This window comes from Homo sapiens, chromosome 8 (assembly GCF_000001405.40).
Source record: "Homo sapiens chromosome 8, GRCh38.p14 Primary Assembly".
Classification (NCBI taxonomy): domain Eukaryota; kingdom Metazoa; phylum Chordata; class Mammalia; order Primates; family Hominidae; genus Homo; species Homo sapiens.
This window is the reverse complement of record NC_000008.11, coordinates 57,453,968-57,467,807: the sequence shown is the minus strand read 5'-3', so window position 1 is coordinate 57,467,807 and position 13,840 is coordinate 57,453,968. Positions and strand designations below refer to the sequence as shown.

General features: G+C 41.4%; 1 long non-coding RNA gene across 1 annotated transcript in view, besides 2 other annotated features; it reads right to left on the bottom strand.

Annotated features, from left to right (window-relative positions):
* The window catches only part of LOC105375855 (uncharacterized), an 88,963-nt gene extending 83,858 nt beyond the window's left edge, over positions 1–5,105 (bottom strand). Inside the window, exon 1 of the long non-coding RNA XR_928920.3 lies at positions 4,731–5,105. This is a non-coding gene — a long non-coding RNA (uncharacterized LOC105375855). The remainder of the gene's footprint in view (positions 1–4,730) is intronic.
* Positions 5,271–5,320: an enhancer, noted in NCBI's record as "active region_27404". NCBI's record gives its function as "activates an Ori minimal core promoter by ATAC-STARR-seq in GM12878 lymphoblastoid cells {active_cell/tissue: GM12878}" and the evidence as "EXISTENCE:reporter gene assay evidence [ECO:0000049][PMID:35858748]".
* Positions 11,148–11,726: an enhancer, noted in NCBI's record as "OCT4-NANOG hESC enhancer chr8:58368641-58369219 (GRCh37/hg19 assembly coordinates)". NCBI's record gives its function as "activates a minimal SCP1, AML or CMV promoter by ChIP-STARR-seq in primed H9 embryonic stem cells {active_cell/tissue: H9 hESC(primed)}" and the evidence as "EXISTENCE:reporter gene assay evidence [ECO:0000049][PMID:30033119]".

Sequence of the window (13,840 nt, the reverse complement as noted above, 5' to 3'; positions counted from 1 at the left end):
GTTCCCATTGCATAGCTTCTTCTCAGGAACTATTACTGAATATTTTTGTCTCTTTTGCATGAGAAACAATTGTCCATCACACAAAATGAGCACCATCTGACTCAGTGCTATGGCAGAGTGGTTGAGTCTTCAGTTCTCTTTCATAACTAATAACCACCATTATCATTTAATACCTATAGGGACGAGCCTCAAAATAAACATTCCTCCAGATTTCTCCATGAGCTATAATTATATTTCAAAATGAAAAATCACATTTTCATTTTGCAATATAATTGCCTTTGCTAAGATGTGAATAAATGATCAAAACACAGCTGTTTCTAAAAGCATATAAATGTATTTTCATACTTTTCTGTAGCAGTACTCTTTTTTCCACCTAACACATTTTTCAGTCACATCTCTTTAGTGTCCACAATGCCTTCTCATTGACAGACACAAATTCCTCTGATTTGCAAAGAGAAAAGGCAAACTATTTACAAAGTTCCTTTGCAACAAATATTGCTATTAGTGTCTATCAAAAAAATCTGTGTACATAGTTAAAGCTGTAAAAGAATAAATTCCAAATCATATTTAAAAGCAAAGCACTAAATGAATTATCTGTAATTGTTGAATGAAGATGGACACTGAGGGAGGAATTGTGTATACCTAGCAAATGCAGAGAACCAAAAAGATAATTCCAAACTTTTTAAACACCACCTTCAAATTGTCATTGAAGCACTTCCAAGCTGCTTAATCATGCTGTGCCGTAGACAAAATCTAGCCAGAAATTACACACAGGTGCAAAAAAAAAGAGGTGAGAAGCTGAGTAATGGTGTGATTACAGAGCACTAGGAAGACATTATTTGTCTCCTCAAAATAACAGTATTATAAAAACACTGACCAGCTATTGCTTCTGCAATACAAAAGAGTTATTTAGGTATTTATTGAATAAGTGATTAGCCAAATGTCAAAAGCTCAGTTTCCTTGTTATCAAATGGAGTAAAAATTTCAATCCTATTAGATTACTTTGAAATTAAATTAGGTAATAAATGTTTTAAAGAATACTTTGTAAATTATAACATGTCACAACAAATGCAAGGTGATGGAATTGTTAAGATGTTAAATTATACATTTTATAATGCATGTTATATTAGATATAAAATGATTGGCCAACACTACACGGGATCCATCTCCTGCATACCCTGACCCAACAACGGATGAATAACGTACACTGACATAGATATTATGCTTGTCAGTCCAGCTGAGAACCTGGGCCACTTACAGACTCCCAGGAGAATGCTGTAAAGAGTTGCAACCACGGCCCCAACTAGCTGGCCTTCCCGGCATTTATTCAGCACACATTAAATAACAGAAGTCTCAAGTAAACACCACTAGAAGCAAATTACCATTGCCGATCCCCTGAGTAGAGAGCAATAATGCACCTGCAGATGGTCAAAGGTTAGTCATAGGTCCACATGAGTAAACAAGCTATTTAGATAGACTCCTCTACATTCCTTTGTTACTTACCCTTGCTATAGCTCAAAGAGGATTAGGCTGCCTTCAGCCATAACTCTATCCTAAGGCTTTTGCAAAAACCTTCTGTCCTTCCAGGAAGGTTTATTTTACAATTTTTCCCACCATGCTGACTGAACACCTCCATCTCCCCCTTTTCTGCTTTCCGCATCGGCCTTATTGATTGGAGAGCACAGATGTATGCAGTAACAGGTTTGTCAGGCATGGTGGTCATTGCTCTTATTCTGGCTTTGCATCCTAGAATTAGCAAATAATGTAAGACAATCATGAGTATAATTAGCTCTGGCTGACTACCACAGTTACTACTTGAGACTGTCATTACAGCAGCTACTACTGTTACTGCTTAAGACCGTAATTACAGAAGTTACTACTGTTACCACTTGAGACCATCATTACGACTGAATGAATGGACAAATGTAGAAATGAAAACCAAGGAAAAAAAAACTGTTTTAAGGGAAAGGTAACATGGGGAGAAGAGAGCTCCCTGCTTCTAGAGAGCAAAGGCAGCCCATAAGCTTCTATTGCCCTTTGTATTTATTGGGTAGAATGAACCAGCAGGAGGAGGTAACAATTGGTCAGTTGCTTAATTGATCACAGGTTCATATTATTACTGACAGGCTTTAATTATGCCTAATCATAAGAAACATTTGTGTAGCCTCCAACATCTCCTTTGTTTTTAAATTAATTGGGCAAGGCAATTGCAGACTGTGCAGCCCTTAATTGCCAGTTTGTGATCCAGCTTCATTTTTCTTAGCCCTTATTCAAAATGGTGTCACTCTGGTTTGAATGCTTCTTACATATTTCCCCTTTCCCTTTTACAACAAGATCCTTAATCCTAAGGGTTGCAGAAGGATGAAGGTCTGTCTACTGCAACTTCTTCATGCTGAATAGGGGTGATGATATTTCCACATAGCTATTAATGTCTCTTGTATTCAGGGTAGAGAGGAACTCAGAAAGCATTGGTCTCTTAAGCATTGATTATATGAGTTCCAGCAAAAGGTGAAACCCTGGCATTCCAGCAGTTGCTCAGCTTCCTGTGTGGTTTTCTTGATCTGTCCCCATGTTATGGGGGTTGATGTCAACATGACTCCAGTCTGTCCTCGTTCTGTCTTCACATTCAGATTCAACTGGCTCATGGCTCGTACTGGGGTAACAAGGCCTATATTTGGAATCCATGGGTCCCTCCAGTCTCCATGGTTGCAAACATCTTGAGGGCACCCACATGGCTTGTTCATCTCCTGCAAAAACACAAGCATACCCTCATCCCCACGTTAGTAAATCTACTGAAAAAAAGGAAAAGGCTCTTGCGGCTGTAGCCAGGAGGCATGCCATTGCTGAGCATTTGTTCTATGAGCTGTAACTCAGTTTCTGCCTCTTTGGTTAATTACCATGGGGTAAAACTTTCCACCAGTAATGAGAAACAGGCTCTTTCTGATTAACAGCAGACACAAAAAAAGCAAATCGAGGCTTATCCTTCTTGCAAACAATCCTCAAGATCTATTACCATGAGAGACCAATCTCTTGCTCCTGTATCTATAAGCCCACAAAACTTTTCTTCAATATACACTGCACAAGTGAGTCTATGAGATGCTATGGGTTGTGATGGATAAATCTCCTATTTGTACTTCCAAATCCCTGACCTCCTCACTACTTCTTATGTAGAAAAGGGTACAATTTACAGGGAACAAGCAATACTTGAGCAACATATTCTCCCGGTTCAAAAACCCAAAGATCTTGTGACATTACCACTACCCGAATTTCTACTTCCCAATCAAAATCAACAACTCCCGGGCCTGTATGTTAAGACAGCTTTTGCCCAAAATTAATCCCATGTATCCTGTTGGCAAAGGTCTCTAAATACCACTGTGAATCTTGGTGAGTTTTTTCTTCCAATTAACATAGCCTGTTCTCTAACTGGGAGATCTAATCCTGAGCTTCTAGGTATTCCTGGGAAGAGGGAATCAATATGCCTCCAGAAACCCATCCCTGAAATGGAGTTGTGGCCTGGACAGTGAATGCCCTCATAGTTTGAGGTGCTCAGGTCCAGGCCCCCTTCTCGTTTCCAGACAGGGGTGTGCCATTTTGATGATATTTTGAGTGGCATTGATTAGCTCAATGATTTCCTTTATTGCAACAAGGGCAAAGTCCTGGCATTTTTTCTGTTGAAAGAGGAACTGTGTTATAAGATCCCTTCTACCCAGAGGTCTGACAGCATTCAAACATCCACTTTTTCTACACTTATAACATTTTCCCACTTTAGGGCTTAACCCTTGGCTTCTTTTAGATCTGTCAGTTACCAAATTAGCCATTGCCTGAGTCAATACTGCAGAACATTGAAGCTCAGTTCCCACATCTTGACAAGCTTTGAAAAAACCTTCCAAGTTCTCTGTACATCTCACAGGTGCCAGTGCACGTTTACAATCCACGAAAGCCAAAGCTAAAGTTGGCCTTTCTGTAGCCAAAAAAGATGATACAAGCCAATTTTCATCCTCCCTCTCCTGTTCACCACCCTCAATAAGTGCTGTAGGTAGGGCAAAAAATTTTCATAAACCCTGAAATAAAAAAATGGTATGTACCAAACTCCAAACAAAAAAGAGAAAAGAAATAATCAAACCCTTCCTTGTGTTACCCTGATTCAAAAACTTCCCATTCTTTGTACCTCTAGGGCACTGACCATTATTTGTGCCTGACCTATGCTTCTTTAAGACAAAACATCACGCTCACACCACACGCACACCACAAAACAAAGAACGGATAAAAAGGGCACACACACACTTTTGCAGTTTACACCAAACCAAAATCAAAACCAAAATCAGAGTATCCAGAAATCCAAGCCAGGTCAAAACCAAAACCAAAGTATTAAGCAATCCAAGTCAAGTCAAAAACAAAAACCAAAGTGCCGGTACAGTCATACCATGGGTGATCAGGCCATGCTTACACTCAAATGGAGTGGGCAAGTTCCCAAGACCAGTCCTGTCAAGCAATTCAAACCAAGTCAAAATCAAAACCAAAACCAAAGTGCTGATAAAGGCACGCCATGGGTGATCAGGCCACACTTCCACTCAAATGGAGTGGGCAAGTTCCAAGACCAGTCCTGTCAAGCAATTCAAACCAAGTCAAAACTAAAACCAAAACCAAACCAAAGTGCTGATAAAGGCATGCTGTGGTTGATCAGGCCATGCTTCCACTCAGAGTAGGCAAGTTCTAAAGACTAGTCTTACCAAGTTTCAGATGTCCGGACTCCAAATACCAGTTCCTTCCCGGTGTTCAGCCACCGTGTTGAGACTCCATGGGGGCCTTCCACACACTGCTCTGGTGAGGCATCCCACTGGGGCAAATGCCTACCCAGAAGCGCTCTCAGGATCCACGTCGCTCAGGCTGGTCAGAGTCCCCTGCAGGGATGTTCCACAGGGCAGGCTTTAGCCGCCTAAGGAGCTGCCTCGACCATCTGCCAATCACCTCGCTTCCCGGTCAGGGAACCAAGAAATGTAGCAGGACGAGCCGCAGACAAAACTCCTCAGACACTGAGTTAAAGAAGGAAATGGTTTATTCAGCCAGGAGCATTGAGCAAGACTTCTGTCTCAAGAGCTGAGCTCCCTGAGTGAGCAATTCCTGTCCCTTTTAAGGGCTCACAACTCTAAGGGGGTCCACATGAGAGGGTCATGATCGATTGAGCAAGCAGGAGGTACGTGACAAGGGCTGCATGCACCAGTGGTCACAGTGAAACAGAACAGGCCAGGAAGTTTCACAATGTCTTTTCTATACAATATCTGGAATCTATAGATAACATAACCGGTTAGGTCAGGGGTCGATCTTTAACTACCAGGCTTAGGTCAGGCAGGCCCAGGCCTGGTTTTGGGTCTGGTTCCTAGGCACCGGGCTGCATGCCTTTTGTTTTGCTTTTCTTTTCTGAGTATAAAACAATATAAAACCATATGAGAGCATCTGTCTCTCTTCTCTCATTATGACTAAAGAATGGATGAACTTAGAAATGAAAACCAAGGAAAAAAGAAACCGTTTTAAAGAAAAGTTAACATGGGGAGAAGAAGAGAGCTCCCTGCTTCTAGAGAGCAAAGGCAGCCCCTGAGCTTCTACAGCCCTTTGTATTTATTAGGTAGAATGAGTAGGCAGGAGGAGGTAATGATTGGCCAGTTGCTTAATTGATCACAGGTTCATATTGTTACTGACAGGCTTCAATTATGCCTAATCATAAGGAACATTTGTGCAACCTCCAACAATTAGCAACATTTTTTCCAGTCAAAGAATGACCCCCCCCGCCAGGAGTAGGGATCTAACCAGGAGAGATGATCTTGCACACCCTTCCATATGGCTGTTTTTTGGGTGTGTAGATCTATAGTGTGAAGGGATTCTAAAATTTTAGTTTTAAGTTGCTTTACATCTGCTGTTAAATTGTCATGGAAGTTTTCCTAGAGGTGTTGTTTCACGTCATCCTGATTATGTATTGATTGATTCCATGGTAGAGAAGTGACACAGATATGTTTATGCTCCCAGTTGCAGTTTAATTGCTGTCAGAATGCCAGTGCATCTTGTCGCTCCCCAGCATATTCCAAAGCAGCCTCGAGAGCTTGCAGACGTGCAAGAATTTTTTGATCTATACCCTGCTATCTATCTACGGCATTTGTAGGTCCCTGCTTGTCCTGTAGGGTCAGTTCCTTCATCTCTGGTACCGGGTTGGGTCCCAGACACACCATGGTATGGTTTGATGTGTCATGCTGGAATCCAAAGAGGACCTAAGAGGGTGTGAACACATGCATGCCCTCTTTCCCATTTAGACACATTTTTGACCAGATTATCTACAAAGGCAGCTGTTTGTACTGACTCAGTAGTAGGTGCAACAGCAACACTAGCCGTTGTCAGGATGACTATGGCTGAGACTATAAAGGCCATAAGTGTAACTATGAATCTTTTATGTCTGACCTGGGACAGGGCACGTTCTTAGGTGGCAAGGGCAGAGGAACCTTGCCAATCACATGTCAAATTGACTGATAGGAATGCCTCAGATTTTCTCCTTAATACCATGACACTAGTAATATTTAGATCAGATATATTGTAATTAGTGATACATGAGGCAAACCAAGCCTGTCACTGCACCTGTGTCACAAAGGCAGAGTTTTGGGGTGAAATAGAAATATTGGTTCCCATAAGGAAAACATACGGATGGGTAGTGCAAATTAGGCACTGATCCGTGTGATTATGAATAATGGTTATAGTATAGTTGTTAGTGGAATTATGATATGTCCCATGCCACGTGTCAAGGGAGGTGCCAAGATGTCCTAGGCACCTAGGCATCTTCAAGTGGCATGGATTTTACTTTGGGTTTGGGATATCCCATCCCCCCATTGGCCCAAATCATAGGGGAACGGGATGTGGCTACAAAACTGTGATTGATGCCACGACGGATGAGGACATTAGTAAGGCTGCCCTGCAAATGGCCATGCAGGCTCTAGTCTAAGATGTTATAATTGTCTAACTGGAGGCTATGGGCTTGTCCCCTGTGACAGACCTCCCAGCTAACGTGAAACCTGTTACTTCCCAGGCTTTGTTCTTTGGCACAGGAATGATTGTTTGGGAAAGCGGCATTGATTGCATTACCTGGTTTGAGGCTACATGCAGCTAAGGCTGTTAAGTCATTTCCTTTGCCATGATGTAGCCATAATTGTGTTTGGGAAGATACACAGTAAGGGTTAGAACCTTTATAAATTACACACAGTGGGAGGATAGTGAATTGATATGCAGTGTTACCTGGCACGTTAATCCAATGTGTGCCATTAATGACAGACCCCACTGGGGGTAAATCTATCCCTCCCAGCCAAGCAGTTACATTATTATAGGCTGGGAAAGGGGTGTCTGCCCAGGTGACAGTGTGAAAGAAAGGCAGATCTAAGATATGAGCCCAGTAGAGTGTAGCAGGTACAGTTGCAGACAAAGCAAGAGCATAAAAAGGATCAATACCCTACATGGGTTGCAATGTACAACAGAAAGCATAGCAAAGAACAAATTATATGGAGTAAATGGTGTCTGTGTCCAGAGCAGGATTTGTTCAGCCTCCTGAGTTGACCTCTTCAGCATCCCCCAGGTAATGTCTGGGGCTTGTGTCATCCATGGAAGCCACATTGTCTGGGCCTGCAGGTCCTGTAGGGTCAGTTCCTTCATCTCTGGTACTGGGTTGGGTCCCAGCCATGCCATGGTATGGTTTGATGCATCATGCTGGAATCCAAAGAGGACCTAAGGGGGTGTAGGTTTTATGCCTTCAGAGGTTTTAGCAAAGTGCTTTTCTAAAGATGATTGAAATTTGTCATCTAAATTTAAAAAATTAAGGGTAAAAAAGGCTTGTGCCAATAGTGTTGCAGGGTCTTTACCCATACTCCCCCTTTTCTGGTTTTTGAGCATATTTTTAAGGGTGGAGTGGGCATGTTCTACTATGGCCTGTCCTTGGGGGTTATATAGGGTGCCTGTGGAATGTTGGATATGCTATGTGTGACAAAATTATTGAAATTGTGAGCTGGCATAAGCTGGATCATTATCAGTTTTAATTTTTGTGGCCCGCCCCATAAATGCAAAAGTTAAAAGATGTTTAATGACTTATCGGGTTGATTCTCCAGGCAAAGCATGGGCACTAATTAAGTGAGAATTGATATTAATGGATACATGTATATACCTAAGTTTTCTAAATTTAGGGATGTGTGTAACATCTGTTTGTCATAACTGATTAGGTTCTGGTCCTCTAGGGATAACACCTATGGAAGGAGGGGATGTGCCTGTGAGCTGGCAATCTGGGCATTGTAGGATAATTTGTTTAGCCAGTCTCTGGGTAAGTCGAAATTGTTTAGATAAGTTTCTGCAGTTTTGGTGGAAAAATTGATGCGATTGAGTGGCTTGGTCAAGCAGTGATGTCATAACCTGAAGGTCTGCTTGTTCATTGCCATAAGCCAATGGGCCAGGCAGAGAGCTGTGGGCTCCAGTGTGTGTGATAAAAATAGGATGTATATGTTGATCTAGCAATTACTGAAGTCGAAGAAAAAGAGCACACAGGGTGGACTCCAGAGTAGACTTAATTAAGGCTGTTTCAAGGTTCTGCAATAAATAAACAGAGTAAGCCAATTCAATCACAATATTTATGGGCAGAGTGAAAAAAGCTTCCAAGGCCAATATCAGGGCCCCAGTCTCAGCTCTCTGAGTGCTAGTAAACCCAGATCAAGTGATTGAATTATGTGGTCTCCAGCAGACTGCCCTTTTCCATGTTTACCAGAACCATCAGCAAACAGTGTTAAAGCATTAGGTATGGGGGAGTGAACTATTTTTTGTGGGCAAGATTATTGGAGTATGAGATAGGATAAGAAATGAAGGAGTTTATCAGCAGGGAGGACATGCTCTATTTGTCCTGTGTATCAGAGAAAGCTATTTGCAGATTGATAGATACTGGCAATACTGCTTCGAATTGCTTTTTACTTAAAGGAATCCTGATGACATCAGGGTCATAATCTATAAACTGATTGCATCGTTTGTGGCCTGAATAGATGACTTTAGTAATTAACTGAATATAGGGAGTTAGTGTTTTAGTCCCAGCATGTGAGCAAAAAGCCCATTCTAGGAAGCGTAGCCTGGGGGCCATGTGTCCTATTAATCCTGTAGGGGACTGTTTGGTGGGAAAAAAAAAAAAAAAAAACAATTGAATTGAATACCGTGGATCAATGCGATTTAGCTGCCTCTGAGAGATGGCTTGCTCTATTTCCTCAATTTCCTTTTTGCCACAGGGGTTAAATATCTGGGAGAATCCAGGGCTGTATTGCCCTTTAAGATAGAAAACAGATTTTACGGCTTATCAGTAGATATGCCTAAAGTGAGGCAGAGCCAAGTAATATCACCTAGTAATTTCTGATAATCATTTAAGGTGTGTAAGTTGCTAGTATTTAATTTAACCTTTTGAGGTCTTACTGACTGGGAAGTTAGTATGTACCCAAGATATCTCTAAGGAGAAGACATTTGTACTTTCTCAGGTACAATGATTAAACCTTTTAGCTGTGTATTCTTTATGACAGGGGTGTATAAATTTAAAAGTATTGGCTCTGTTGGGGCTACTAGTAGAATATCATCCATAAAATGAATAATCTTGCAATCAGGAAATTCTTTTCTACTGGGGAGCAAAGCTTGATTTACAAGATACTGACACATGGTAGGACTATTCAGCATGCCTTGAGGGAGCACTTTCCAATGAAATTGACAAGCTGGCTTTTCATTATTGATAGCTAGTATTGTAAAGGCAAAATTTTCTCTGTCTTCTTCTGCTAGGAGAATAGTATAAAACCAGTCTTTTAAGGCAGTAATGATTATAGGCCAATCTTGAGGAATTGCCACAATTATGGGCTTTCTGTAATTTCTCTCCTTTGAGAGGTTACTCTTTTACTTAAGTTGGATTTGGAGAGAGTCATGTTGGAGAGGGTAGGAGAGAGATAACAACAGTGGCCATTATCAGAGGTCTTTTAAATTCTTAAATTTTACTTAAATGGTGCAGATAATTATAATTTAGTATGTATCTTGTATACAAGGAAGACATGAAATTTTGCTGTGAGCCACTGAGGAGCTGGAGAGCTGAGCAGGTGGGTCCCAGGGTGGCAGCTGCTTTGCATTTGCTTAGGCGCTGCTGCTTTTTGTTGGTGCTGGCTTCTTTCTGTGCCACTCCCTCCCCCAACTGCTGGGTGGTTGCTGCCAGCTGGGTGGACCTTTTTGCCAGCACCTCCAGCCCCTCCCTAGCAGGCCAGCTCCAGCACCCTGGAACTGGCTCCCTGTTGCCCCTGCCACCACCATGAAGGCCAAGTTCCCAGGAGCATTTGCTGGCTCGGGGTTTGCAAGCTTCCCTGCTGCTGAGCTTTCCCTTTTGCTTACTGCTCACTTGACCACGTTGCTCAGGCCTCTAATGCTTTTTCTCATCGTTTTATAAGCATTAAAAGAAATGGGTTTGTATACTTGATTGTCCTGCCAATCTTGCATTACCAGGCAGGCTAAGAGCTCCCCTGTTGATGCCGCTTGCTTAAGACAAGGTTTTATAGCTGGAGCATGTTTCTTGTCTTTTTTCCTACTTATTGGATGAGGGGGCTCAGGCAAAACTTCTGTTTCCTCTTTGTTATTTTGGCCCAGTGATATCTGGGCTGAGGGAAGAGGAGGCAGTAAGGCAAGTGGTGGTTCCTCCTCCTTTCCCTTTTTAGGCTTTTCTGTGCATAATGGAGCCAGGGCCACCTTAATTAAAGCCCATAGTGTTAGAGCTGTTACTGGGACCTGTTGCCCTTGTGCATAATGTTGTGTAAGATTTCTCCCAACTTGTTCCCAGAGCTCTATGTCATCATTCCTTCTTTTGAGAACCATGGATTATGGTTTACAACAATTTGCAGTAGGTCCCTTAATTAAGCCTGCGAAACTGAGGCTCCACTAGCTTTAAGCAACTGTTTCAACACTTTTATATATTGTTTCCATTGAGCTGATAACTGTTGCCCCATGATGAAACCTCAGCCTGAACAATTCCCCCCAGACTTGGAGATCCTGAGTGGGCACCAATGACTTACTGATTACTCACTGACCACGCAGTCCTTTTCACCTCTGTTTTTGGGGGGGTCCGTCGTGCTTCCTTTGCTGTGTTCCTCACATGGGGCACTAGCTGCAGGGATCCGTCCCACAGACCCTGACCCAACAACAGATGAATAACGTACACTGACACAGATATTATGCTTGTCAGTCCAGCTGAGAGTCGGGCCACTTACAGACTACCAGGAGAGTACTGTAAAGAGCAGCAACCACGTCCCGACTCACTGGCCTTCCCGGCATTTATTCAGCACACATTAAATGACAAATATCTCAAGTAAACACCACTAGAAGGTAATTACCATTACGACACCCTGAGTAGAGAGCAATCATGCACCCAGGGATGGTCAAAGGTTAGTCTTAGGACCACATGAGTAAACAAGCTATTTAGATAGACTCCTCTACATTCTTATGTTAATTACCCTTGCTATAGCTCAAGGAGGATTAGGCTGCCTTCAGCCATAACTCTATCATGAGGCTTTTGCAAAAACCTTCTGGCCTTCCAAGGTTTATTTTACAATTTTTCCCACCATACTGACTGAACCCCTACAACTGCAAGGTAGTGTTATTATTTATATTTAAAACAAAGCAGGTGAACAAGCTGAAGATCCATGCACATCTCCCAACCCAAGTAAAAAGTGATTATTTCTGGAAAATGAACTTTTAGTGATCTGTCATTTCCCTTTCTGTCATTCCCTTTCACCCACAATGCTGGTGCCAGGAGTAGGCAAAGCCAGGTTGTGATTCATCTTAGAAAATTCTGAGTAAGGTTTCAACCAACCCCTTTCATGAAGATGCTTGTTTTCACTTCATATAATATGTGGCTGAGAGTGAACACAGAACTCAAATGTACAAATTCATAAATCTCATTTTGAGATGCACTTTCAGTTGAGGGACATTGAACAAGTAAGCTCATAAACATAAAAGTAAACAAGGGCAATAAATGTAAATATTTGTACACAATTATAAGTAATATAGAAGCTATCAAAATCCAAGTTCTTCTCCTGTCCATTAGCACACAGCCAGGCAACATTTCCCATCCTCCCTTGCAGTTAGCCAGTACATAGCCATGGGTTTGAATTCTAGCCAATGGGATATGAGAAGTGATGTGCATTATTTCCGAACCCACCATAAATACCTCTCATATGATATCCTCAGGGCTCTTTATTTCCCTGGAATGGAGAGGCACTCAGGGAAACCTTGGAATAAACTTTCTAAAGTTAACAGAGCTTCTGACAGCCTGGTTCCCTGAATGTCTGCATGGAGAAAGCTTGTCCTTCCAACCTGTCCATCTACCCAATGCTGTTATATGATAAAGAAATATCCTTCTATTGCATTTGAACCATTGTAGATTTTACAGCTTACTTGTTATGGCAAATAATCTATGGTAACTAATACAGATAGTCATCTAAAAGTTTCCAAATATATTTATGCCCATTTTCTAGATTACCATAAACATTAAAACACCAAGTTACAGAAATTCTCATTGAAAATGCAAAGATTTCAGTGTAAGAACTATTATATTTGTACACGTGCAAAGTCCTGTGTGATCTGGCCCAAGCAGGCTCATTTCTCCACATCTTCCCACCTCATCCACTCCAAACCACTGAAAACAAAAACTCTGCTTTCATAGAAATCCTGATACCCCTGCCTACAATGTTTTGTTTCCACCTCCACTGATTGCCCACAAAGGTTATAAGTTCCTGTGATCCTGTGCCTAGTCGAAGAAGATTTATGTGTCTTTCTTCTGCAAAATCATTTCTGTGGGCCAACACCAATAATTTACAGCCCCTTCTATCTTATTTCTAACACACATGCTTGGTTTAATGAAAGTAAATACCTTTTAAATATTAGATAGTTTTTTTAAAAAATTCATGTAATGGGTATAGGATAAACAATGAATAGACTTAACTGGTGATCATCCCCCCCATCATCTCTTGCTAGAAAGACTCCTTTATGTCTGGGTTGGCTTTTTCTCCTGATTTATGTGGCTGAGAGAGAACACAGTGATTATTGTTCCTCCTGGATTGAGGTCTACTGCACAAGGTCTCACCTCTTTTCTGGACAAGGAGTCTTGAGTTCTATCCTAAGATACATCTATAACATGAAATGCACCAGCTCAGCCTATTTCCAACCTGAAGCCATTCTACCATACCCTTCCCCATATTCACATTTCTGTCTTCAGAGCAAAGCCAGCTTCCCATAGGCTCCTCTTACCAAGGAGGCTACATCAGATGGAGATATATCAAGCTGAGCTGTGATTCATGGGGAGCTGTCATGTCAGAATGGGTCTTATTCATTTGCTCGTTTATCCTATAATGCCACCAAAAGAGAAGTTGTCCAGATCCTCTTGGCTCAATGACTTTATATTGCTTAGGTCGATAACTCTATTAAGTCACATCACTTTGGGGCAGGATTTTTCTGGACATTTAAAAGTTGCTTATTGATTCATAAGATGTTCTTGAATCAACAGTCATTATCTGAGTATTTACTTTCCTCTTAACTTTGTATTATAAATTTTTCAAAGTTGAAAATTTGAAAGAATAGTACAATAAACACCTATATACTTACTCCTGATTCAATAATTACTAACATTTTGCAATATTTCATGTACTTATCTATAGATATGTGTTTTTGTTATCTTTGCTAAATCATTTAAAAATGAATTGCAGCCCTATGACATTTCAGTCTTAATATATTAGCAATCATTTCCCCCAGTTGAGGACATTTTCCCGTA